Source organism: Homo sapiens, chromosome 1 (assembly GCF_000001405.40).
Source record: "Homo sapiens chromosome 1, GRCh38.p14 Primary Assembly".
In the NCBI taxonomy this organism is placed as follows: Eukaryota; Metazoa; Chordata; class Mammalia; order Primates; family Hominidae; genus Homo; species Homo sapiens.
In genome coordinates, this window is record NC_000001.11 from 245,598,927 (window position 1) to 245,624,799 (window position 25,873).

The 25,873-nt window shown below is 46.9% G+C and overlaps 1 protein-coding gene across 1 annotated transcript in view, besides 4 other annotated features; it reads left to right on the forward strand.

The window, feature by feature from the left end:
- KIF26B (kinesin family member 26B) overlaps positions 1–25,873 on the forward strand; it is a 554,448-nt gene that overhangs the window by 443,942 nt on the left and 84,633 nt on the right. The window contains exons 6-9 of the mRNA NM_018012.4: positions 3,651–3,857; positions 8,725–8,818; positions 10,340–10,602; positions 12,867–13,050. Coding sequence (NP_060482.2) covers positions 3,651–3,857; positions 8,725–8,818; positions 10,340–10,602; positions 12,867–13,050 — 748 coding nt within the window. The remainder of the gene's footprint in view (positions 1–3,650; positions 3,858–8,724; positions 8,819–10,339; positions 10,603–12,866; positions 13,051–25,873) is intronic.
- Positions 7,117–7,947: an enhancer, noted in NCBI's record as "H3K4me1 hESC enhancer chr1:245769345-245770175 (GRCh37/hg19 assembly coordinates)". NCBI's record gives its function as "activates a minimal SCP1, AML or CMV promoter by ChIP-STARR-seq in naive H9 embryonic stem cells {active_cell/tissue: H9 hESC(naive)}" and the evidence as "EXISTENCE:reporter gene assay evidence [ECO:0000049][PMID:30033119]".
- Positions 12,492–12,992: an enhancer, noted in NCBI's record as "H3K4me1 hESC enhancer chr1:245774720-245775220 (GRCh37/hg19 assembly coordinates)". NCBI's record gives its function as "activates a minimal SCP1, AML or CMV promoter by ChIP-STARR-seq in primed H9 embryonic stem cells {active_cell/tissue: H9 hESC(primed)}" and the evidence as "EXISTENCE:reporter gene assay evidence [ECO:0000049][PMID:30033119]".
- Positions 12,993–13,493: an enhancer, noted in NCBI's record as "H3K4me1 hESC enhancer chr1:245775221-245775721 (GRCh37/hg19 assembly coordinates)". NCBI's record gives its function as "activates a minimal SCP1, AML or CMV promoter by ChIP-STARR-seq in primed H9 embryonic stem cells {active_cell/tissue: H9 hESC(primed)}" and the evidence as "EXISTENCE:reporter gene assay evidence [ECO:0000049][PMID:30033119]".
- Positions 23,780–24,299: an enhancer, noted in NCBI's record as "H3K4me1 hESC enhancer chr1:245786008-245786527 (GRCh37/hg19 assembly coordinates)". NCBI's record gives its function as "activates a minimal SCP1, AML or CMV promoter by ChIP-STARR-seq in naive H9 embryonic stem cells {active_cell/tissue: H9 hESC(naive)}" and the evidence as "EXISTENCE:reporter gene assay evidence [ECO:0000049][PMID:30033119]".

A 25,873-nucleotide genomic window follows, 5' to 3' on the forward strand; every position in this document is an offset into this window, starting at 1 on the left:
AGCTTTCTGGATCCCATTCCCTGCAGGTCTACCCTTGGGAGTGAAATAGTGACCGTCCCTTTGAGCCCGAGAGCTGGGGAGAAGGCCGTGCCTGTTAACAGCTGCCTGGACCCTCTCTGGAGAGCAGCAGGGAGAGGCGGGGCTGGAGGAGATGTTGCCAAGAACCTAAGGGTGTTAGTGACAAAAGCAAGAACTCCTGGCAACAAGTCCGAGGGACTTTCTTGATCACAAGTGGTATCTCCTAAGCACTTTAATTATAGCAGATTAAGCAGGAAGTGGAGTGCCGGACTAAAGGAATAATGATACAAAGGAGGTGAAGCAGAAAAACTTAATTTCCTTCCTTTAAGGGAAAAAAAAGTCCATTTATTTAGACGCATTGCAAAGAAAAGAATGGAGTGTGGCCTTTCCCCCAGCTCGGAGCTCAGTGGGTTTTTAAAGAACTGTGTGTATCTCTTTGGCCAGACCAGCGACTGGGATCTTCAGCCTCTCTGCAGAAAATGAGCCGCAGGCTCGGGATTTCGTTAAGATGCAGGAGCATTCCTTCTGGACCAATGACTCACTCATTCAGCCCCTTCTTTCCCGCTTCTCCTTGTCAGCCCTCGCCTGGCTGAGCTCATATTTTACATTCAGCACCTCTGGTTACCCAGAAATTGCATGCAAAATTGTGAAATAGAAAAGCAGTGGGCTGTGGGCTCCATCAGCTCTGCCTGGCGTTGCATCATCCTTGACTTGCAATGCTCAGAGGCTGGGCTAGGAGATTTGCTTACAGAAAGCCTGAAGGTCCCAGGGACCTTCCCAAAGTTGCGACTTGAATGCATGCTCTTAGCACACATGCTGTGTAACTGGGGCAGATCTGTAGGAATGAGTGGAACTGAAATCAGACCTTAGAAAGTCACAGTGAATAAGAAAATTGCCAGAATGGAATGCAGATATACCTACTGGTTACTGTCCTGTATGTAGCGGCTGTGTGGGATTTGACTGTGTTTTACTAATAGGAGCCTTGTTGGGCCCAGTGCTTCATAACTAGCTCTGTCTGTCGGGAATCCCCCACAGTATCCTGCTTGTGATTCACGCTATCCAGAGTCCAGGGCAAGGAGTTCTAAAACCTTATCATGTTTTGTTTTGTTTTGATACAGAGTTTCACTCTTGTTGCCCAGGCTGGAGTGTAATGGCGTGATCTTGGCTCACCACAACCTCCGCTTCCCGGGTTCACGCCATTCTTCTGCCTCAGCCTCCCGAGTAGCTGGGACTACAGGCGCCCGCCACCATGCCCGGCTAATTTTTTGTATTTTTAGTAGAGACGGGGTTTCACCGTGTTAGCCAGGATGGTCTCTATCTCCTGACCTTGTGATCCGCCCGCCTCGGCCTCCCAAAGTGCTGGGATTACAGGCGTGAGCCACCACGCCTGGCCGTTTTGTTTTTGAGAGACAAGGTCTCGCTCTGTCACCCAGGCTGGAGTGCAGTGGCATGATCATAGCTCACTGTAACCTTGAACTCCTGAGCTCAAGTGACCCTGCTACCTCAACCTCCCAAGTAGCTGGCACCTGTAGGTGTGCACCATCACACCTGGCTATTTTTTTTTAATTAACTTTTTGTAGAGATGGGCTCTCACCATGTTGCCCAGGCTTGTCTTGAACTCCCACCTCTGCCCACATGCTGGGCATTCAATTCCTAGATCTCTTCCTCCCTCCTCTCTTGACTTGCCTCCTCCTGGATCATGATATCTTATCATTTTCCAATCACAGCGTTAATGGTAAGGCTTGAGGCTGGGCGTGGCACCCATGCCTGTAAACCCAGTGCTTTGGGAGGCAGAGGTGGGAGTTCAAGACAAGCCTGGGCCATGTTCAGCACTTTACATGCCCATTCACTGAGTTTGCACAGCCGCCCATATGACGGGCATTGTTATTCCTACTGTACAGGTGAGGAAATGGGGGCTCTGAGAAGTGTGACTGTTTGTGGGAGGCAGCAGCTGGCATGATGGAAAAAGTGTAGGCATTGGAGGTGGGATCCAAGTCCAGTCTTCCACCCACAGGTTCAGTGATGTGGGGCAAGTTATATAACACAGTTTTCTCATCTGTAAAATCTGGACAGGCATACCTACACCCTGGAGCATTGGGAGGATTAAATGAGATCGTGTAGATAACAGCATAGTCCTGGCATATGAGAGAAAATGGCAGGGATCTTTCTATGACCTCAGTGTGAGAAGCAAGATCTAAACCCTCAGAGGTAGAGTGCGTCCCACACTCGGGCTCCTTCTACTGGGACACTGGCTTCCGGATCTCCACGGAGAACTGTTCTTAAGTTAGAAGGCAAGCACAGCGGGGACACGGTGCAGGACACCTGCGGACCCAGTGCCCTTGGGATTCTTTACCTTCAGCTTTGCTCACTGCAGATTAGTCCTCATCGCTCAGCAGAGAGAGTCGAGATTGGCAGGAGGATCTCCGTCTTGAACAACATTATGATTCTCTGAGCATTTCTATATGTTGAAAATATTTTATTTAAAAATTACAACCACCCCTCCTCCTCAAAATTGCATGACAGAGATTTCACCAAACCTGACAACTGATGAGACAAAGAGAACAAGACACAGAGAGGAATTTAGAAATAATCCTTGTGCATACCTTCCGAAGTTGCCACATATTACTAAAATTACCTGTATCTGTGTCTATCCTGCTACTCTATGCATTACATATCTTTGCATCCCCCATGCCTAGCACAGTGCCCAGCACATAGTAGGTGCTCAAAAAAAGTGCCCATCATTTGTTGGACTGAACTCACAACACAGTAACAAAGAGCCAGTTAGAGCAAATGCTGTCCCTTTTCCCAGGACTGTAGCTTCCAGACCCGTGTGAGGCCTCAGCCTGATTTCTGTTCACCTTAGAACCCCAAGGCTGACTGTGCATTTCCATAAGCACCTCGCTCGCCTGCAGGACGGGGCTGGGTTGGTGGTGGGTACCAGAGGTGCTCAGTGTTCAATCACGCAGAAAGTGGGCTAAAGGGCAGCGCCTCCTGCTCCCTCCAGAGATGCACTTCCATTCTCTGAAACGACAACTTCTCTGCACTCGCTTAATGGGATCCCAAATAACACGTCGCAGACCAGTCTTTTATCACTGTTGCCCCTTGGAACACATTTCGAATGCTGGCCATTAAAAGCAGGCCATTTCACGGTTCTTTAATGATGACACTAATAACTGTGGATTTTTGTCTCCCAGAGTCCTGATGAGCTGAGCCAAGGAGTAAATTACGGAGCTAACTTTTATGTGCATGGTTTATTGATCTGTGAGCTTCAAGGAAACTGCACCAGCCCCTATAGTTTGGCAGTCCAGACTACCTTTTCATCTGTGTAATTGGGCCACGAGGGCGCAGTTAATATTCAATTTATATTAATAGGAAGACAAAGAACATGATGTGCCAGCTCCATATTGAAGTAATGGGCATATCAAAATATTCTACCTGGTAATTATAAATAAATCAGTTTTCCCGTGACCCACCAAGGATGATGTTGCTAATTCACTGTGCATTTCATCATAATTTATCCTGAGAAAGTTCAGTGCTGCCATGTGCATGTATATCGCAGAGTATACAAGGGTGCTCCATCGTAAAACACCCAGCTGTCTTCATCCATGCTGTCGCCCATCTTTTCTTAACAGGTGAAAGTCATGCTTCGCATCTGTTCCACCTTGGCTCGAGATACTTCAGAATCCAGCTCTTTCTTAAAGGTGGACCCACGGAAGAAGCAGATCACCTTGTACGATCCCCTGACTTGTGGAGGTCAAAATGCCTTCCAAAAGAGAGGCAACCAGGTTCCTCCAAAGATGTTTGCCTTCGATGCAGTTTTTCCACAAGACGCTTCTCAGGTGGGTATCAGCCCCCTCTCAGGCTCAGGCAACGTTGATGAAAGGGCAACGTTTACTCATTCACAAGGGCCCTTGAGCTGGGAGGGTGTCTTCTGGAGCATTCTGATGGACCAGTTCCTTCAGGAGTCAATCTGAGCTCCACCGAATGGTCCAGTGCTTTTGAATTACTGGTGTCAGACCTTGGGCAGGATCAGTGTGCACAGATTTCAATAAAATCTGTCCTTGGGGAGAAGGAAGTGTGAGCCAGTCAGTGGATCACACACAGAAGCAGGAAGATAACAGAAAGGGACAAGGACAATGCGTCAAGGTGCTGGTGACAGATCTAGTAGGACCCTACTCCTGCCTGGGCATTGTACGAAGGGAAAAAAAAAAGTGTTTCAGGGAGCTGATTAGAATTAGGCCATCTCCTAGGCCCTGTATAAGCACACTGGGGTTGAGGGCAAGCCTGTAGCCCTAGTAAGGAACCAGAGTGCAAGGCAGGGAAACCGAGGCTGACATGCATCCTGTGGCCTGGCTCAGTGGAGTGAAGGGGAAGAAGAGAGGCTCAGGGACAGGTGTTGTATTCGCTGAATTGCTGCCTTACAAATCACCCTAAAATTCAGTGCTTAATACAGTAAGCATTTATCATTGCTCATCGGTCAGCTGAGCAGCTCTTCTGGTCCTAGCTCAGCTCATTTTTATGTCTGTGATCAGCTGTGGGTTGGGCAGGCAGCTCTGTGGATCTTGGCTGGATATCAGCCAGGCGAAATAAGATCATCCTATATCACACCATAGGCACATGTCTTTGGGGGTTGGCTGGCCTTACACTGGTGTAGAATAGCCTTGACCAGGTCAGCTGGTCTCTCTTCCACATTGTCGGTCGTCATCCAGCAGGCTAGCTTGGGCTAGTTCTCAAGGCAGTTTCCAGGACCCATGCATGCAGGTCTCTGGAGGCCTAAGCTCAGAATTGACCCAATATCACTTCTGCTGGATTCTACTGGCCCAGCTTCATGAGATGGAGAAGAGATTGCTTCTAATGATTGGACGAGCTCCAAGTCACATTGCAAGGGAGTTGCACCCAGGCTGGGGTGGAGAATTGGGGCCATTTTTATTAATCTACTATGAGCATAATTGGGAGGCTACTTGGGGGCCCAGGGTACCAAGATTACTGAGCCATGGGCAGCCAATGAACTGCAGACCTCACCAGATGCTGCAACTAAAGCTGCTAGTAGATATCTGTTCTCCTTTGGATTCACCCTGGAGCTTTGGTGAAGATGGGCCTCTAAGTGGCACGAAACAGCACCTGTTCCTTCAGGGGAGGGAGCAGGGACAGACGTGTAGAACTGATTGCAGAAATGAATAACCCAGGTTATAGAATATAGCCTACTTTGCCTGGAGTTTGCATCTTTCTGGTAAGTTTCTAGTGCTTATCAAGATTTACATTAAACAGTGTATAGGATAATAACTAATAATCTATAGCAGAACCTGACGACAACAGTGCGAATAGTTACCATTTGCAGCCTCTGTGAATTTCCTCCAGGCTGCATCTGAGTAGAGGAGGTGGCGATGTTCTCACGGGCTCCTATATTACACCGTGGGCACACAGCACATGTTACAGGCTCCATTCATTAAGAAGTTGAGCATGCGGTTTCCCCAAAGAGTTTTACCCAAGAAGACAAAGTACTTTATGAATAAGTTCTATGGTTTCTCTCCTTATTACATTTTTTGTGTGGCATATCACCCAATGGGCTCAGTAATTTAAACCTGACGTTTGGTCTAACAAATGGCCTACAAATAATTTCATTAACACAGTTAAAACTTTTCAGAAGCAAATCTCCACAAGTTGTAAGAATTCCAAAGCAAACCCTAAATCAAGCATGGACTATGAATGCGTTTTAGATTTATTCCAGAAAAAGGGTCCATTTTAATTGCTAGTCTTTGTTTACATTTCACACTCGGCTGCAGAGCTCAGTATGCTCAATACTGGAGTTTCGCTCATTTCAGAATGCCTTACTTTCATTCACATTTCCAATGTTATAATAAATTACATGTCTGTATAAATTTGCAGTTTTCAAGACATTTCGTAGACATTAACACATTTGACTCTTCCTAGAATTCAGTGGGGTAGGAAGAGAGGCACTGATGTTCTCATGTGACACACAAGGAAACCGAGACTCAAAGATGAAGTCACTTGTTCAAAGTCCCTTTCCCGAGCAGACGTCCTTCCTGGATTCCCCCCGTTAACCTCTCTGTATCCTGCTCGGTATGGTGGTGTATCTTTGACCTCCTGCCATTTTATCCAATATTTCCTAGCAGTGTGGCCTCAGGCGAGTCACTCAACCTCTCTGGACCTCAGTGTCCTTCCTCATCTGTCAGGTGAGGACATGACCACAATGTTCCTCATCAGGCCGTGTGATTCCTCGAGTTGACACACAGGAAGTGCTCACAGCAGAGCCAGGAACACAGCAAGTGCTCAACAAATGCGGCTATTTTTACCGTTATCACTGCCAATATTAGCAGCATGCTGCTGGCCAGGGCAAACTCAGCCCCACAGGGTGGGCACCCCTGGAGCCCCCAAGCCTGAAAGGAGGGAGTGTGCGGAGTGGGCCTGTGCTCTCCAGTCCTCATTTTCAGCCTGTGAAGCCGCAGCCACTGTGGTGACCCGGGCAGTTAGAAATTGTGCTTTCTCTTCGTTTCTAAGGAAATCAGCTTCCTGAAGCTAAACAGTGATTAGAACAGTCCTGTTTCATGGTTGCCTTTGAGAGCCATATGACCCTTCAGTGGCTTCGGCAGTCGCTGGCTGCCCCTGTTGGGACACGTCTCTGCTGGGACACACCCCTGCTGGAGAACCTGGACTTGTGGGCAGGCAGAGCCTTCCTGCAGACCTGGCCCTTCCCATGGGGGCTGTGCTCGAGAAGGCTGCATGCCTCTCCAGGTCCCAGGGGAAGCAGCAAGGGGCCTCCGGGGCCCCTGCCAGCTCTTAACACACACCAGATGGACAGCCCGCTGACCACGCTCTTCTCAGTGGAGAGCCGGGTGGGAACTGTGCCAGGGGATGCCGCCCCAACTCTGCACAGCAGGTCTCCTCTCGCCCCCGGCCTCTGCACGGGTGACTCAGTGTGGTCCACACACAGCCAACATTCTCCCAGGTGGCTCAAGAATCAAATACAGCTTATTTTATGTATAGCTCAAGGTGATTTCTCAGCCTCCTGCCTCCCATCCCACTTTATGTCCAAAGAAGGCTTAGTCCATTGGGCAGCCTTCTGCCTGCTCTGCAGACACGCCTCTGGCAAATTCCATCAAGACGCTACTGCTTCTGTCTCAGGGTTAGCACTGGGCTCTCCTTGCCTAAGTCCTGGGGGGTTTGAAAGATCCTGTGTGCCCTACAGCAGCCCTGTCCTGCCACCCCCTCTGGCCCAGGAGGAGCCCCCCGCCCCCCGCAGAGTTGCTGGGGACCACCCTGGAACAAGTGACAGCTGTTGGAAGTGTGGTTTTTCAATTTTAGTTTAGGAGAGAAAACTGATTTCCAAATACTTGGGTTCACTGTGCTGCTGAATAACAACATTCACGGCCCAGGTGCCCACCGGGAGGCACGCTGCCCCGAGGGCTGCAAAGCCCCATGTTAGCACTGCCTCCCGGAGCTCCCACGAGCCCTGACTCCGGCCCCGAGACAGAAATGAAAGCAACAGGGCACAGCGAATAATGCTATCTTTCTGCTTCTGTGACAAGTCTCAGGTGCTAAACAAAGAGAAGGACATTTCCCAGATCTCCAAGTTAGTCCACAAAACCGACAGCTCTGATGGCTCGCAGAGCTCTGTATTAGCGGGTGTTCAGGGGAAATACAAAACATCATCGAGAGCCTGGTCCCTGTCTAGGATTTAATAATCAAATTGGAGACCAGACACACACACCCGGCCAAAGAACACCTAATAACATACCATGTGGTGACTGATACTCTATATGTTGAATGTATCTGTAGCAAAAGGAAGAAAAGGCAGGTTTTGAAAAGAGGAGCATGGGACGGGCGCAGTGGCTCACGCCTGTAATCCCAGCACTTTGGGAGGCCGAGGCGGGTGGATCACCTGAGGTCAGGAGTTTGAGACCAGCCTGACCAACGTGGTGAAACCCCCTCTCTACTAAAAAAATGCAAAAAATTAGCCAGGCATGGTGGCACATGCCTGTAATCCCAGCTACTCGGGAGGCTGAGGCAAGAGAATCACTTGAGCCCAGGAGGCGGAGGTTGCAGTGAGTTGAGATCGCACCATTGCACTCCAGCCTGGGCAACGAGACTGAAACTCCGTCTCAAAAAAAAAAAAAAAAAAAAAAATGAGGAAGGTGTGAATTGAAAATGAGGAAAGAGATCAGGAGAGAAAGCAGATATATATCACAAACCTCTTGCTTACGTGAGAACTACGGTGTTTCTCAAGGTCTCACTTGTGAAATGGTGGGTCACCTTTTTCCCTCTCATAAGCCTGGCCTGTTTAATAAACTCTATGTATACGTGTGTCAGCAGAGGGTGAGTGGAGAGTTTAAAGACCTTATCCGGGACCCCAGAATGGCAGATGAGGGAAGGGAATGAGGTTCATGAGCACACTGTGCCCCCATTCCAGCCTGCTCCTGCCTGCTCTACAGACGCATTCGCTGAAACGTACCACGGATTAGCAGAAGGGTGGTTTGCAGTGCATGTGCATAATGCTCAGGCTTGCAAAGGGCGGAAGGTCGCCAGGGGTTCTGAGCATCTCCAAAACTTCACGACAGAGGCCAACCCACCTGGGAACACAGTGACACTGGGACCCGAAGCCCCAGGAAGGTGGGCTCACTTTCGTTGTTAGTGGTGTCTCCGCTGCGAGGTCCATTCACGGCTCGTGTCTCCTCTTGTGTCTGACAGGCTGAAGTGTGTGCAGGCACCGTGGCAGAGGTGATCCAGTCTGTGGTCAACGGGGCAGATGGCTGCGTGTTCTGTTTCGGCCACGCCAAACTGGGTTCGTGAGAGTTTCACTTTCTCATGCGGCTCGTTGAGCTCCCTGTCATCCCATGCATTCCTCTGTCTCCCTCCCAGAGTTCTCTGATGACAGGAAGGGCTGCGTTTCTCTTAGGTGTTGAGCTGAATAACCAATAACAAGTTATACGACGAAAACCTATGTTGTTCATTGTAGGTGGACACCCATTCATGTAGGAAAGCCTTCAAGTCCAAATAGATGGAAAGAGAAGTAGCAGAGTTGTTCCCACTTGGTCCAGGTCAGAGTCAAGCCCAGAAGGCAGGCAGGAAAATATTCATTTCCTGAGCAGCCGCTGTTTGGGAAGCAGATAGGGCCCCTTGCACCACCGCACCCATGAGGATGTGGGTTGGTGGTTGGACCCCTGTAAAAGCCAGAGGAGCAACCTCCAAGCAAAGCCCAGAGCCCAGGGCGCGTCTGGAGAAAGCAGTGCACACCGTCGGGAACACTCCAGCGCTGAAGCGTCTGGGAAAGGAGGCAGCAGAGCCCCCCAACAAGGGGTTCATAAATCCCCCCACAGTCCCATCTTACTTCTGACCTGTGGCCATCTGCTCCCCAGGCCTTGCCCTTACACGCTTGATATGTTTAGTGAATTGAGGAGCTTCAAAAACTGTCCCTTGGCAGAGATTCCAACAGAGGCCTTGCTGGAGCTCACAGAGGCCAGTTCTCAGCCAGGACAGAAAGCCATTGCCTCTCTCTGCACTTCCGTCCTCCCCAGCCCTTTCTCTTGATCTTGATGTAAGCAGTGATCTGGGTTTTAATAGAATTTGCTCATGCCATAAAAATATACACAGCATTTAACTTGAGACAGGATATAAAGTGTGAATATGTGGACTTAATCTGGGGGGTAACTATAAAAAGAACCATAATGATGATGAAAAAGCCCAGCCTTCCCACTGTGTGTAAAGCAGTGCAGGAACTGGATAGCATGTGATATTTGGGGTCCTCCTCAAGGTACATGGTGATTTAATCTTGTCACATGTCTGGGCTCTTGCTTTGTTTCTTTTTTTTTTAAGAGATGGCTCTCAGTTGCCTGGGCTGGAGTACAGTGGCATGCTCATAGATTACTGTAACCTCCAATTCCTGGGCTCAAGTGATCCTCTCGCCTCAGCTTCCCAAGTAGCTGGGGCCACAGGCATGCCCCACCACACCCAGATAATTTTTAAAAATTTTTCATAGAGGCAGGGTCTCCGTATGTTGCCCAGACTGGCCTGGAACTCCTGGCCTCAAGCAATCCTCCCATCTTGGCCCCCACAAAGTGCTGAGGTTACAGGCATGAGCCACTGAGCCCAACCAGCATTCTTTATTGTAGCCATTTAGTTAGTAATACCAGAAAATGCCTTCTGTTGTTGTCAAATACTATTTCTCTCATCTTTTTGTTCCTTCTCTTCCCTTTTCCCCCCTTCCCTGTGCCTTTCTTCTATATCCTTGGCATCTATTTTGGAGACTCCGTGGAATGATGCCTGGACACTGAACCTGCTTTTCTTCCTTCCCTGGTTCTCCCAGGAAAATCCTACACCATGATCGGAAAGGATGATTCCATGCAGAACCTGGGCATCATTCCCTGTGCCATCTCTTGGCTCTTCAAGCTCATAAACGAACGCAAGGAAAAGACCGGCGCCCGTTTCTCAGTCCGGGTTTCCGCCGTGGAAGTGTGGGGGAAGGAGGAGAACCTGCGGGACCTGCTGTCGGAGGTGGCCACGGGCAGCCTGCAGGACGGCCAGTCCCCGGGCGTGTACCTCTGTGAGGACCCCATCTGCGGCACGCAGGTGATTGCTTCTGAAGCCTGGCTCGCCCCAAGGTGGCTCCCTCCCCACCTCAGAGGCTGGGGCAGCTCCACCCGTGAATCACTGAACCTGTAAACTCAGAGGCTTACGGGTGTTTACTTTAAAGTGGACTGGAACTTTATGGCCTGCAGCTGTGGGGCCATCGGCTTGCCCAGTCTAAATATTTGTACCTTGACTCTAATTGACAATGAGCAGGGACCACAATTACAGCATTTGGGGGAGAAATGGAATTCACTTTCTTTATGCCCCTTTCAAAAAAAAAAAGTAACAATCTTTCTTTTGTTTAACAACAAACCGGAATATTTACTGCTCTGCACAAATAGCTAGAGCCATTACGGGGCTGTTGATGACTCTATAAACTGTGCTTCTGGCACTGGTTTACAGCCGGATTAGCAGTGCTGCAGGAAAAACTAATAACCACTTTCTAATTAGAACCGTGATATAATTGCTAGAACTATGGAAGCCAAGAGAAGCTCCAGTTCACCATTTCAGGATGCTAAGCCTGTTGGGAGGGTCTCTCCTTTGCTGTTTGACAACAGATGTAGGAATGACCCGGGAGCTGCAATTCATTCATATCCAGAATAATCAATCCTTCCAGTCTCTAACAGTAGGCTTTATTTTCCCGTGTTGTCAGATGCCTCCTTTTGTAGATAGGTGTTCCGTTTGATAAGTACCTGCCTCTTCCCAACTGGGATTGTTTGCACAGGTGAGGATACCTCCCGTGGCCTGTTATACTCATTACTCAAACCTGACCATGCTCTTCCCCTGCTTAAAGCACCTCAGATCCCTCCATTTCCCTGAGTCCTCTTTCGTCTGCATCTGTCACCTCGAGGACTTGTTTAAACACTGATCGCTGGGCACCCCCCCAGAGTTTCCAATTCAGTAGGTCTAGAGTAGAGCTCCAAAATGTGCATTTCCAACAAGTTCCCATGAGATGCTCATGCTGCCGGTCCAGGGATCACAGTTGGAAATCACTGTTCTGAGGCATCAAATGTGCAGAGACAGTATCTACACAGTGTCTGTGATGCAATCAGTAGGACTCGACCCACTGCTCCTGTTCCAGGCATTTTCTAGACATTCAAATATGCTTTCACCCCCATTCATTTTTAGAACTTCATTGATGAAATTCCACTAAGGGGTGAAAAGTCTGGTTAAATGAAGGCTAAGAAAAAGAAGAAAAGACCAATATTCCCTTTAATTCTTGTTGAAAAATCTTTTAAATTCTTTGGTTTATTTTTCCATAGCGAGACAAAATTTTGAACACAAAAGAATCTCTCTTTGAAGTCTGAGGATTTTGATGGCCTCAGGTTCTAAATATTGGCTCTTACAGTTCAAAATTATTTGTATAGTTAGAGTAGAAAATTGTCAGAATTTGTACCAACCTTAAGACATGTACTGCAAATTAGTTCTTTGAACAAATCAGAAACATGAGTTGCCTTTTCTCCCCAAAAAGAGGAGTGCTGGTTCAATTCTGTTAATGTGATCGTTGTGATTCAGGTTTAAAATAATTGCCAAGTATTTTCATAAGATTCAGACGCATTACCCTGTGTGCTTTCTTTAATCAATTAATGAGTATGCCGGGAGCATGGATTCAGGAACTAAAGGTAAATAGGTATCTCCTAAATTTAGATGAGACATTCAAGTATCGTGAGTGTTTGAGGGTGCCCTTTACACTGGTTTCTTATTTATAACTATGCTAGTAAATATGGCCTAAAATTGGCTTTAATTAAATAACTGCAAAACTAGGAGTCAAATGAAAGCTAACCAAGTTTTTTTACATCTTTGGGACACCACTGCTATGAGGCCTCAAATCACATTTTGCAACCTACCTGTCTCCAAACAATCTAATCTTTGGACTCAAGATGCAGTCACATCGCTCCTGTTTTCTTAGGTAAATGGATAGCCAGGGGTGTTGGTTTGCCGCCCTCTGCAGAGATAAGGATGAGCCATCTGCTCCCAGCTTTTCACACCCACTAGTTCCAGATTCTACTTAGACTGTAAAGTAGGTAAAAATAGGTTTCATCCAATAAGTATGCTCAATATTAATTTTCAGAAATGAATTAATTAAGCTGAGAATTGCACATGAGCATAGCACCTTGTTTCAGAAGGGTTTTCAGCCTTAGAGGGGCACGTGGCTTTACTATACAGAACACACAGCCAGCTGAATGGTGCTGGGGACACCCAGGCATGAGTGACAGCAAGCCCTCCTCAGCCTGCAGCCTCATCTCTTGGCTTCTGTCTTCCAGCTGCAGAACCAGAGCGAGCTGCGGGCCCCCACCGCAGAGAAGGCTGCCTTTTTCCTGGATGCCGCCATTGCCTCCCGCAGGAGCCACCAACAGGACTGTGATGAGGACGACCACCGCAACTCACACGTGTTCTTCACACTGCACATCTACCAGTACCGGATGGAGAAGAGCGGGAAAGGGGGAAGTAAGTCGGCCACTCCACCCTCCTGCCTCCTTAGCGGCTCTGGCCCCAGCCAGAAATCCCTTGGGCAACCATGACCTTTGTGTGTGTGTGTGTGTGTGTGTGTGTGTGTGTGTGTGTGTGTGTGTGTGTGAGAGAGAGAGAGAGAGAGAGAGAGACAGGGTCTTGCTCTGTCACCCAGGCTGCAGTGCAGTGGCACGATCACAGCTCACTGCAGCCTCAAACTCCTGGGCTCAAGTGATCCTCCTGCCTCAGTCTCCCAAGTAGCTTGGGACTACAGGCTCATGCCACCACACCTAGCTATTTATTTGGTTATCTTTGTAGAGATGGGACCTTGCTATGTTGCCCAGGCTGGTCTAGAACTCCCGGTCTTGAGATCCTCTTGCCTTGATCTCCCAAAGTGTTGGGATGAAAGGTATGAGCCACCATGCCTAGCCAAACTTTTCTTAATAGACTACAATATGCAGTTCAGTGACTCGTAATTCAAGATAATTATAGTATCTGGGCTGAAGTTCACTTTTGAACTGTCCAGGGAAAGGAGTTTGCTTTGGTAAAGGTAATTTACAAATGTCATTGCCATGAGAATGTGAGAGGTCAAAGTTACAAAAAGAAAACAACTGCCTGACAGTATCTTTTTGTTCACAGACCTCAAAAATGCTCCTCAAGAAAGACCAACATTTATCCACCAAAGCACTCCGGCAGTGTGTTATCATCATTAGCTCGAGGCCACTGTATGGACCATGTTTTTTAAAATAGCATAGAAATCAGACTTTTGAATAACTACCCAGACCCTGGCTGCCTCCCTCAAATCGTCAGTGAAGGTTTACTGTCAAAACCCAGGTACGGTGCCTGCTCTTCGAGTGAGCTGCCCTGCCAGGAACCCAACACTGTGCCCCTACAGACCCCTCTTGGCTGTGTTTCCAAAGTCAGCCCGGGCTGGGGTGCAATTCTCTGCCTTCTGTGAAGTAGTGTTTACTCTATGCCCAAAAGAGTTGAGCACCAGATCAGCTGAATGTCTCCAGTGGGGATCTTGGACCAGGGGCAAAGTGGTCTGTTGATTTCACTGGGTTCCTAAGGCAGGTTGTGGGTAACGGGGCTGCTGGGCTGGCCGGGCAGTGGCTTCCGTGGTTCCTCCATGTCCCGCTCTGCCGGGCTTTCAATACACAGGCAACTGGCTCCCAGCGCTTTCTGCATGATTGTCTCAAAGACACTGGATGCCAGAAAAACAATCAGAAAACTGAGTTAAGAGTCTAACCCTGGACTGGAAATTGTAAAGCTCATTGAGTAAAGCAGAGATGGTCCGCAAAGCTGTTGTAGATGAAGCCTAGAATGAAGACATCCAAGTAGGACCAGGCGTGGTGGCTCACACCTGTAATCCCAGCACTTTGGAAGGCCAAGGTGGTTAGATCACTTGAGGTCAGCAGTTTGAGACCAGCCTGGCCAACATGGAGAAACCCCGTCTCTACTAAAAATAAAAAAATTAGCTGGGCGTGGTGGCACACACCTCCCAGCTAGTTGGGGGTCTGAGGCAGGAGAATTGCTTGAACCCAGGAGGCGGAGGTTGCAGTGAGCCCAGATCGTGCCACTGCACTCCAGCCTGGGTGACAGAGCAAGGCTCTGTCTCAGAAAATAAAAATAAAAAGACTTCCAGCTGGGATCTATGGACAGGCTCCCCCTGATTTCCCCTAAGCCTCCTCGTGGCTCAAAAGACCTGGACAACAGTACTCCTGGGGAGAGAGCTCTTTGCGGGCTTCTGCTGTCCCCAGGCAAAAGCGCCTCCCTTCCCCCACCTCGGTGCCTCTCTTCCTACTCTTTAGTTACTGTTGTTAAAATCCAGGTTTATTGCAGTATAAGGTACATTCACCAAAACATCACTTTGATGTGTCTTTAGATGAGTTTTGGCCAATCTATACAGTCATGTAGCCACCACCATTATCAAAATAGAGCATAAGGCTAAAGTTCCCTCTTGCCGTTTGTCCCTTCCCCTGACCTCTAGCCCCTGGCAACCACGGATCTGATTGTTGTCCTGGTTTTGCGTTTATCCAGGATATCGTGGGAATGGACTCGTGTGGCCCAGATGTGGCCTTTTGTGTCTGGCTTCTTTCACGTAGTGTCCTAATGCATTTGAGACTCCCCCATGCTGCAGCACGCGTCTCTTGTTTCTTCTGGTTCCTGCTGCCTGTTCTGCCTGCTCCTTTAGTTTTTTTGTTTGTTTGAGATGAAGTCTCACTCACTCTGTTGCCCAGGCTGGAGTACAGTGGCGTGATCTCGGCTCACTGCAACCTCCGCCTCCCGAGTTCAAGCGATTCTCCTGCCTCAGCCTCCTGAGTAGCTGGGAATACAGGTGCCCACCACCATGTCTGGCTAATTTTTGTACGTTAAGTAGAGACGGAGTTTCACCATATTGGCCAGGATGGTCTTGAACTCCTGACCTCGTGATCCACCCGCCTCAGCCTCCCAAAGTGTTGGGATTACAGGCGTGAGCCACCGCACCTGGCCTCTCCTTCAGTTTTGACTGGGCCTGGAGGCTTGGTTCCTACCCTACCACCAGGACAGAATGAAAATATCCACAGCTGGGGCTGGAGTTCCTCTAACTGGGGCTGCTTTTTATGGCTCTGAAAATCAGCCCTGAGCTGCCTCCAGTGGCTGCTGTGAAGAACCGAGAGGTTCTGGTCCTCACTTACAGCGGGCGAGGCGCCCCAGGGAAGTGGCCCATTAGCTTGAGGGCAGCTCTCTCGACAGCCCATGATGGTGAGCAAAGTCTCACTGGAGAGGAGCCGAGGATAGTGAACGGGAATCTCTCGGGAGATGTATTCTTGGTAACAGGCTCACACCATGTAGAGCGCTTCCGTTTAGAATCACGTTCTTAAAGAAGGAAACGCATTCGGATAGGGATGAGGAGATGCAGACCTTTAAAATCGGATAGGGATGAGGAGATGCAGACCTTTAAAATCGGATAGGGATGAGGAGATGCAGACCTTTAAAATCGGATAGGGATGAGGAGATGCAGACCTTTAAAATCGGATAGGGATGAGGAGATGCAGACCTTTAAAATCGACAGCACAATTGCATCCACATTTCTCCTGACTGTGTGGGAGTTGGCCTTGAACCCTGCCCTCACTGTTTTCTCCTGGGTAGTGTCTTCACCCTGTCAATGTAAGAGTCTGACAAATGTTTAGTTTATTCTTTTAAGCAGCTGTCAGTAATCATCATCATCAGAGCCTGCAGGACTTTCTTGTACTTTCAGTAAAGAGTGACTCGCAAAACATCTAACCCTTGAGCCAAATGACTCCCAAATGGCACTGATCAGAAAAACTTGGGAGATGGGATTATCTCTCCTCCTTCCAGGTTTCAAACCAAACTGAGGACAACTCTGTTTTCGGTTTTGTACTTTTTTTCTTTTTTGCAGTTCTGCTTTCGATTTGGAATCTGAAAGTAGGGAGAAATCTTGAAAACAAGGAAACAGTTCATTAAATGACTTCAAATATAAGAACTTGAAATTCAGATTCCACAAAAGTTTAGGCCAAGACATTCCCTAAACCCAGTGATCCACCCCAAATCAGTACCTAAGGAATCCTGCACCCTTATTAAATATTTAATAGCCAGCTCATCTTCTTCCTATTTTTAAGTTGTGAAAGAGAATTGCTTTTAAATAATGCATTCAGGTTAAAAGAAAGGGCAAATACCACGAATGGTTTCCAAAACCTCGGTTAGGTCCTTCCTAATGTTTCAGTGGATGAGAACAAAGAAGGGGAAGGAGTCCAGGGGTCGTGCGATCGGCAGACCTGGGGGACATCTCTTCCCTCCCGAGGGGAAAGGATCCCGGCCAGAATGCACACGGCCTCCCCGCCTGGGACTCACTTGACTTCAGTGAATTTATAACTGTTTAAAATATAATGAGGAGATTTGGAGGGTTGTTTAAAATGGAAATTTTGTTTACTTACATATAAGTAATAATCCCTGCGGACCTGGCAGCCAGAACTCAATTAGGGGAAAGTTTATTAATTAGTCACCCTGCAGGGAAGCCATTAGAAGAGATCTCTGCCGCAAGAACTAAATAGACTCTGTGTGCGCCTCTGAATCTCATATGCACACATGCATTTTATACATTTTACACACAAATGCATCTTACATTTATAATTTTACACACAAATGCATTTTACACATATAAGTAGACAGACAAAAAAAAGTTTTAAACATTTCCAGTCAAAATAGAAAAGTCTTTGTTGATGTATCCCTGTTTTGCAGATAGCACTAGGTTAAGCTTAAAATATCTCCCTGTTTAAAAGCTCATTGGAATTAGTGGGACTGATCCTTCAGCCTCATGGAGGCCTTCCTCTGCTTTGCGAAGCTAAATCTGTAATAGCTTGAGAGCCTCCTCGGGAATCCCAGCACTGGGAAACAGACCCTGAAGCCCTACTGATCAGAGAGCTGCTTCTCATAACGACGCGTGTACTGGGCACCTAAAACAAGGTGGTGCTTGGGACCAGAAGTGTTTCAGATTTCAGATTGTTTTCCGATTTTGGAATATTTGCATATGTAATGATCCCTTGGGAATGGGACCCAAATCTAAATACAGATTTCATGTATGTTTCATATATGCCTTATAGACATAGCCTGAAGGTAACTTTATACAATATCTTCAATAATTTTGTGCATGAAACAAAGTTTTTACTGCATTTTGACTGCAACCCCTCACGAGGTCAGGTGTGGAATTTTCCCCTTGTGGCATCATATTGGCCTTCAAAAAGTTTGAGATTCTTGGAGTATTTTGGATTTCAGATTTTTTGGGTTAGGGATGCTCAGCGTGGACTAGTGATACTTCAGGGTAATGCGCTAATGATACGGAGATCGCACCTGTCCTGTTGACAAAGATAATTTCAAAAGCCCCACTTTTATGAGTAATCTAAGCATGCAAGCAACTGTTGCTCAAGGTCCACAATGACACCGGGTCTCTGATTTGTTCATTCTCTTTATTGCCTCTGTGGGGAGGATTAGAGGGCTTTGTAGGCTGGGCTGCTGTGTGCGCACACAAATGTATGTGCACATGGGCACACATCTGTGCTACACTCATCTGTCTACACATCTCATCAGACTCTTTAATCTGTTTTTTTGTTTGTTTGTTTGTTTGTTTGTTTTTAACACTGAGTCTCGCACTGTCACCCAGGCTGGAGTGCAGTGGCGCAATCTCAACTCACTTCAACTTCCACCTCCTGGGTTCCCCGCGATTCTCCTGCCTCAGCCTCCTGAGTAGCTGAGATGACAGGCGTCCACCACAACACCTGGCTAATTTTTGTGTTTTTTAGTAGAGACGGGGTTTCACCATGTTGGCCACGCTGGTCTCGAACTCCTGACCTCAAGTGATCCACCCACCTCGGCCTCCCCAAAGTGCTGGGATTACCATACCTAGCCTAATCTGCTTTCTTTTGACAATGCAAATGTTTTCTTTACATGTCATGGAATGGCTTAAATCAACTAATGCTGTATTTAGGGCTGTGTGGTGGATATGACTCTGGAGATCCATTCTTTGGGTGGCAGATGTGGGAAAAGAGGCTTAGGAAAGAACCTTGCTTCTAATGGAGCCACAGCCAGTCCCCTGCTGTCCCCAGCAGCGAAGCCCTGTGCAGCAAGGATGTCCACACACTACAGGGCTCTCATCTCCCGCTTGGTCAATAATGAAGTGGCAGTTTCATCTTTTTAGGTTTTTGTAATCTATATGTTTTTAAATGTTGGCCAGGAGACACTATTCTGAAGAGTGCAGCCTGGAATTCCCATCACCGCCTCCGTTTCTAATCTTCTCAAGCCTCCTGGCCACTCTCAGCAGGTAACTAGCATCTTAGTCAATGAGAAGACAGAGCTGACCTGGTGCATTCCTCAACTTCTCTTCTTTTGGTTTCATAGTCTCCTGGTCCCTTTACCTCAGTTTCCCCCCTGCTCCTTCCCACAGGCCTGCTGCTCCCGTCTCCTGGCATTCTTCCTCCTGCCCCTTCTGCCTCTTCTGGGACCTCACCAATTGGGACCCCCTCAGTGGTCTTTTCATGCTTATGTTTTCAGCCTTTCCTCCCACCAAAGTCAGGGTTACAGAAGGAAGAGAAGGAGGCAGGGAGGGAGGGAAAAGGAAAGGAAAGGAACCACAATGGCACCTTGCCTCTGCCACGCTCCTCTCCGATCGCCTCCTCAACAAAGACGTCAGATTCCCCTCTTTGTAATGTCTTCTTTGAATTTCAGCAGTGTGGGGGATGTTATGCTTTTGCCTTACTCCGCCTTATATTTTGGCTGTTTGTGAGCTAGTCCAAGCCCTATTGGACTATAGGTGCCTTGAGAAAGAGTGCCACAGTGCCAGGGCTGTGTCTGCTGCATGCTGTTTGTGAGCTTGTCCAAGCCCTATTAGACTATAGGTTCCTTGAGACAGAGTGCCACCGTCCTGGGGCTATGTCCGCAGCGTCAGTATCCAAGGCCTATTAGACTATAGGTTCCTTGAGACAGAGTGCCACAGTGCTGGGGCTGTGTCCGCTGCGTCAGTGTCCAAGCCCTATTAGACTATAGGGTCCTTGAGACAGAGTGCCACAGTGCTGGGGCTGTGTCTGCTGTGTGCTGTTTGTGAGCTTGTCCAAGCCCTATTAGACTATAGGTTCCTTGAGACAGAGTGCCACACTCCTGGGGCTGTGTCCACTGCATCAGTGTCCAAGCCCTATTAGACTATAGGTTCCTTGAGACAGAGTGCCACAGTGCTGGGGCTGTGTCTGCTACGTGCTGTTGGTGAGCTTGTCCAAGCCCTATTAAACTATGGGTTCCTTGAGACAGACTGCCACAGTGCTGGTGCTGTGTCCGCTGCATGCTGTTGGTGAGCTTGTCCAAGCCCTATTAGACTATAGGTTCCTTGAGACAGAGTGCCACAGTGCTGGGGCTGTGTCTGCTGCGTGCTGTTGGTGAGCTTGTCCAAGCCCTATTAGACTATAGGTTCCTTGAGACAGAGTGCCACAGTCCTGGGGCTGTGTCCACTGCATCAGTGTCCAAGCCCTATTAGACTATAGGTTCCTTGAGACAGAGTGCCACAGTGCTGGGGCTGTGTCCACTGCATCAGTGTCCAAGCCCTATTAGACTATAGGTTCCTTGAGACAGAGTGCCACAGTGCTGGGGCTGTGTCTGCTGCGTGCTGTTGGTGAGCTTGTCCAAGCCCTATTAAACTATGGGTTCCTTGAGACAGACTGCCACAGTGCTGGGGCTGTGTCTGCTGCGTGCTGTTGGTGAGCTTGTCCAAGCCCTATTAGACTATGGGTTCCTTGAGACAGAGTGCCACAGTGCTGGGGCTGTGTCCGCTGCGTCAGTGCTCAGGTCTCCTTTGTCCAAATGAAATGTGTGCTGTGGTTTTAAAAATGATTCTCTGCTCTCGAACTCCTGACCTCAGGTGATCCACCCACCTCGGCCAGCCTGGCCAACATGGTGAAACCCCCTCTTTACTAAAATTACAAAAATTAGTCAGGTGTGGTGGCAGGTGCCTATAATCCCAGCTACTTGGGAGGCTGAGGCAGGAGAATTGCTTGAACTCAGGAGTCAGAGGTTACAGGGTTGCAGTGAGCCGAGATGGCGCCACTGCACTCCAGCCTGGGCAATAGAGGGAAACTGTTTCAAAAAAAAAAAAAAAAAAAGAATCTCTGGGCTGGGCGTGGTGGCTCACACTGTAATCCCAGCACTTTGGGAGGCTGAGGCCGGAGGATCACTTGAGGTCAGGAGTTCAAGACCAGCGTGGCCAACGTAGTGAAACCTCGTCTCTACTAAAAATACAAAAATTAGCCAGGCATGGTGGCGGGCGCCTGTAGTCCCAGCTACTCGGGAGGCTGAGGCAGGAGAATCACTTGAACCTGGGAGGCGGAGCTTGCAGTGAGCTGAGATCACGCCACTGCACTCCAGCCTGGGTGACAGGGCAAGACTCCATCTCAAAAACAAAAAATGAAAAATAAAATAAAAATTAATCTCTGTGTTATCTAGTAGAGCTGTGATTCGGGAAGAGTAAGACCACCCAATTACCTTTCACGTAAGCAGATGGTATTAGGTCAGAGAAGCCTCACAACGCAACAGAGTCAGGAGGCAGTCAGCTGACTGGGCAAGTATGTTAGAGGGGGAATTATAGAAAATGATGTATTCATAAAGGTGTTATCTGAAATTAAATAATACAAATGTATTTTTATTCATTGATCTTACGAACCACAAAGGGCCAAGGCTCTCTCTTTGAGTTTTCAATTCAATTAATTTGACTTCCACGAACCACATTCGTATTAACAGTTCAGTTTTTGCTTTGAATTTCTTCAAAGAGATTTAAGAGCTTAAAAAAACACTTTACAACCAACTGGGTATAGACTTTTTCTAGATTCTTACAGTATTTTCCACTCTATAATTCCTCATTCACACAAAATTCAACATCGTTAAAAAAAATTTTTTTTTTTGAGACAGGGTCTCACTCTGTCACCCAGGCTGAAGTGCAGTGGCGCTATCTTGGCTCACTGCAACCTCTGCCTCCCAGGCTCAAGTGATCCTCCCACTTCAGCCTCCCACGTAGCTGGGGCAACAGGTGCGCACCACCATGCCTGGCTAATAGTTTATATTTTTTTGTAGAGATGGGGTTTCACCATTTTGCCCAGGCTGCTCTCAAACTCCTGAGCTCAGGCGATCCACCTGCCTTGGCCTCCCAAAGTGCTGGGATTACAGGTGTGAGCCATGGTACCCGTCCAAAAAATCCTCATTTTTTATCACATCTTTTCAAAGCATTGAGTTGAGTTTTTATAAAAACATTAACTCTCTTTACAAAATCATTTCATTGGCTTATACAGTATTTTATGTTTTTATTTAAAATAACAAGGGGCAGAAACCAATTTAGGAGGAAACACAGCTGACCTATTAAGAACTATGCAGCTGATTCTTTTTGGAGCAAAAGTGCACAAACTAGACCACAGCCTCCACTAACCACGAGCCCTCAGCGTGCTGTGGGCGTCAGGCAGAACTTCTTATGCAGGTGACCCAGAGCATTGCTGAACCTGGCCAGGTGGTAAGGCAGTGGCTCCCAAACTTAGCTACACATTAGACTCACCTGGAGGGCTTTTAAACGCATCCCAGAGTGCGTGCTGCCCTCCAGCCCAATTAAATTAGAAAGGCTGGGAGTGGGAACCAGACGTCAATATTTCTTGAAAGATTCCAGGGTGATTCCAACGGGCAGCAAAGTTTGGGAGGAACTACGACGGTGCGGGAAGGCGAGTTAAAAGAGCTTCTGCATGCTTTCTGGTTAGCTTCGGATTTTCATCTTAGATTTAGCATTAATTTTCTATGAGATCTTGGGTGATTTATTTAACTTCTATGAGCCTCAGTTTCCTTATATGTAAAATGGGGCTAATTTCTGCATTGTGGGATATTATAGGAATTAAGTGATATTAGGAGAATTTAGGATTTCCTGCTACCTTCCAGGTGCTTAATAAAGTGTGGCTCAGGCGTAGGAGACGTTATTATATTGTTTCCTGTGGGTAGAATAAGGCATGTGGGTAATTTGGTTTGGTCAAAGTCTAGACTTAAAATATTGCATATTAGAATATAACTAAAGGATTACTCAAGGCAGACTGAGTTGTGTTCCTTTAACCCTGCAGTCTTGACCTCAAAATCTGGAAAGTCAGTGAGGAACCTGCTTCTTACCTGCTATTAATTATCACCTATTGTGTTCATTTGCTGTGTAACTACACTTTCTCCCCAGCCGCCGGAAGTGATGGAAATTCTTGATAATAGCAAGTGGCCTGTGCTGACTCACCTTGTACTATTTCAAGTTAAGCACCATGTGTGAAATTCACAATTCTGTGCCTACGGCAACTCCAATAGGCACGGAGCAGAGAGTAGATTTTCCATTGTCTAAATGTGACTCTTACTTTGAGTCACGCAGGTATAATTATAGGTATTTTATATTATCATCCTCAGCACAGTCTAAACTGTGCCTTTTGTTCTTGTGTTCTGTTTTACTACATGTACATTATCCATTTTATTCCATTACATCAAATGGACTGTTAGAGTCAGAATTGGTCTCTGTCTTTGCCCTTTAATCTGTGGTGCATGTGGAATATCTGAGCTTCTCCTGTCTATATAATTAGGCTGCAAAACAGATGATATTTTGCTTTAAAAATAACTATTTCCATAGCACGCTGCTGTGACCCAAGCTTGCAGGGTACAAAATAGCATAAAACAGAAGTGACACATTATATCTTCCCCTTAAAGGGGTTTTACTGGGAATAGTTGAAGAGAAACAAAATATAACATCCTTAATGTAAAAAGTTCTTTGCCATAGACGTGCCAGTAGCTGGAGAGCTGGAATTGCAATGCTTTCTTTAAGTATTTCTCACCTTTTTTTCTCAGTACTAGATATGGAATTTGAGGATAGGAAGGGGTGGAGGCAGATTAGCCTTAGGACAGTGGTTGCCGAATATTTTCATCCTACAGCATGAGCAGTGCTGCATCAGCCTTGTCCTTCGGGCTCTTCTGCAGACGCGTGGATGCCTAGATCCCTCCCACGCACCCCGAGTGCCACCTGCAATGGTCCAGACACACGCGGGTCCCACACGCTCTGCTCGCTTTTTGTACCAACACCTTTCAATCTTGCCCCAAATTACTTGGCCTCCACAACAGCTTTGGGAAGTTTCCATCTCTGCCTTTGCCATTTTCCTTCTGTGCAGAGTAGGGAAAGGCAGAGGGAAGAGTTGCTGTCCTGGCAGTAACAGGAGGCAGGCCAGGTATGAGGCTGTAAGCTGGGCCGCCTGGAAAGATAGGGATCCAGAGGCCTGGAGGAGCAGCATTCCGCTGCTGCCTGGGATTGAGGCGGGGGGAAGGGAGACAGCCAAGGAGTGGGTGATGTACCCAGAGACACGCCTCTCTGGAAGAGTGGGGCCTGGGGCAAAAAGGCGGCCTTCTCCGGCTGCTTCGTGGAGCTGATGGAGGCCGCAGGATGTAGTTGAGAGCTCAGGTCTTGCAGTCAGTCTGTGGTTTGAATCCTAGCTCTACTACTGGCTGCAGGATCGTGAGCAAGTTTTTTTTTTTTTTTTTTTTTTTTTTGTTGTTTTTTAACAACTTTAATGAGATATACCTGAGCTACAATAAACTGTACATATTAAATCATATAACTTGATGTTTTATCATATGTATATGCCTATGAAACCGTCCTCAATCAAGATAATGAATATATTCTTCACCCCCAAAAGTTTCCTCGGGAGCCTTGCAATCCCTGCCTCCAGCTCCTCTTCCTTCCTGTCTCCAGACCCAGGAACCACTGAACTACTTTCAGTTTCTAGACATTAGTGTGGATTTCCTAGAATTTTATGTAAAAGGAAACATATCTTGCAGACGGTACTCTCGTGTGTGGCTTCTTTCACTTAGCATAATGATTTTGAGATGTAATCATTTCATTGCCTGTATCAATAGTTCATATATTTATATTTCTGCATAATAGTCCACTGCCCAGATATACCACAGTTGGCCGATCCATTCATCTCTTGATGGACATTTCTGTTGTTTCCAGTTTGGGGATATTACAAATAAAAGTACTAAAGGTTGAGCATCCCTAATCTGAAAATTCGAAATCCGAGATGCTCCAAATCTGAAACTTTGTGAGCGCCAAATGACATCACAAGTAGAAAATTCTACATCTGACCGCATGTGACAGGTCACAGGAAAAACTTTTTGTGTACAAAATTATCAAAAATATTGTCTAAGATTATCTTCAGGCTGTGTATATAAGGTATATATGAAACATAAATGAATTTAATGTTTACGTTGGGTCCTATTTCCAAGATATGTCATTAGATATATGCAAATACTCCAAAATCTCTGGTTCCAAGCATTTCAGATAAGGGATATTCAGCTTGTGTGAGCATACATGCACAAGTCTTTGTATGGTTATATGGTTTGGCTCTGTCCTCGCCCAAATTTCATGTTGAATTGTAATTCCCAGTGTTGGGGGAGGGACCTGGTGGGAGGTGATTACATCATGAGGATGGATGTCCCCCATGCTGTTCTCATCATAGTGAGTTATGAGATCCGGTGGTTTAAGAGTGTGTGGTACTCTCCCCCCTGCTCACTCGCTCTCTCTCCTGCTCTGCCATGGGAAGATGTGTCTTCCTTCACTGTGAGTCAATGAAACCTATTTTCCTCATAAATTACCCAGTCTCAGGTAGTTATTTATAGCAGTATGAAAACAGTCTAATATATATATGGACATATATTTTCTTTCCTTTGGGGTAAAAACCTATACTAGAACTGGAATCTTATCAATGTCTGGGAATATTTGAAAAAAAAAAAAAGAAAAACTGGAATGGCTGTACCATATAGTAGATGTTTAACTTTTTAAGAAATTTCTCAGCTGTTTCCCAAAGTGCTTGTACTATTTTATATGGGGAGTTCCCGTTCCTCCATACCCCCACCAGCATTTGGTGTGGTCAGTCTTTTAAGTTTTGCCTGTTTACATAGTAGGTTTGTAATAGTGTCTTGTGGTTTTAGTTTGCACTTCGCTAATGACCAATGATGCCAAGCATCCTTCTACACGCCCATTCGGCATCCATACCTCTTCTTTGGTGAAATGTCCCTTCAAATCTTCTGTCCTTTTAAAAATTGTTTTGAAAGTTTTTAATATATTCTGGATGCAAATCCTTTATAAGATATAGTATTTGCAAATATTTTCTCTCAGTCTGTGGCTTCTCTCTTCATTCTCAACAGCATCTTTTGAAAAACAAATACTTGTTTTTTTATGAAGTCCAATTTATATGTTCTTTTATGAATCATGTTTTTGCTGTCACATCTAAGAAAT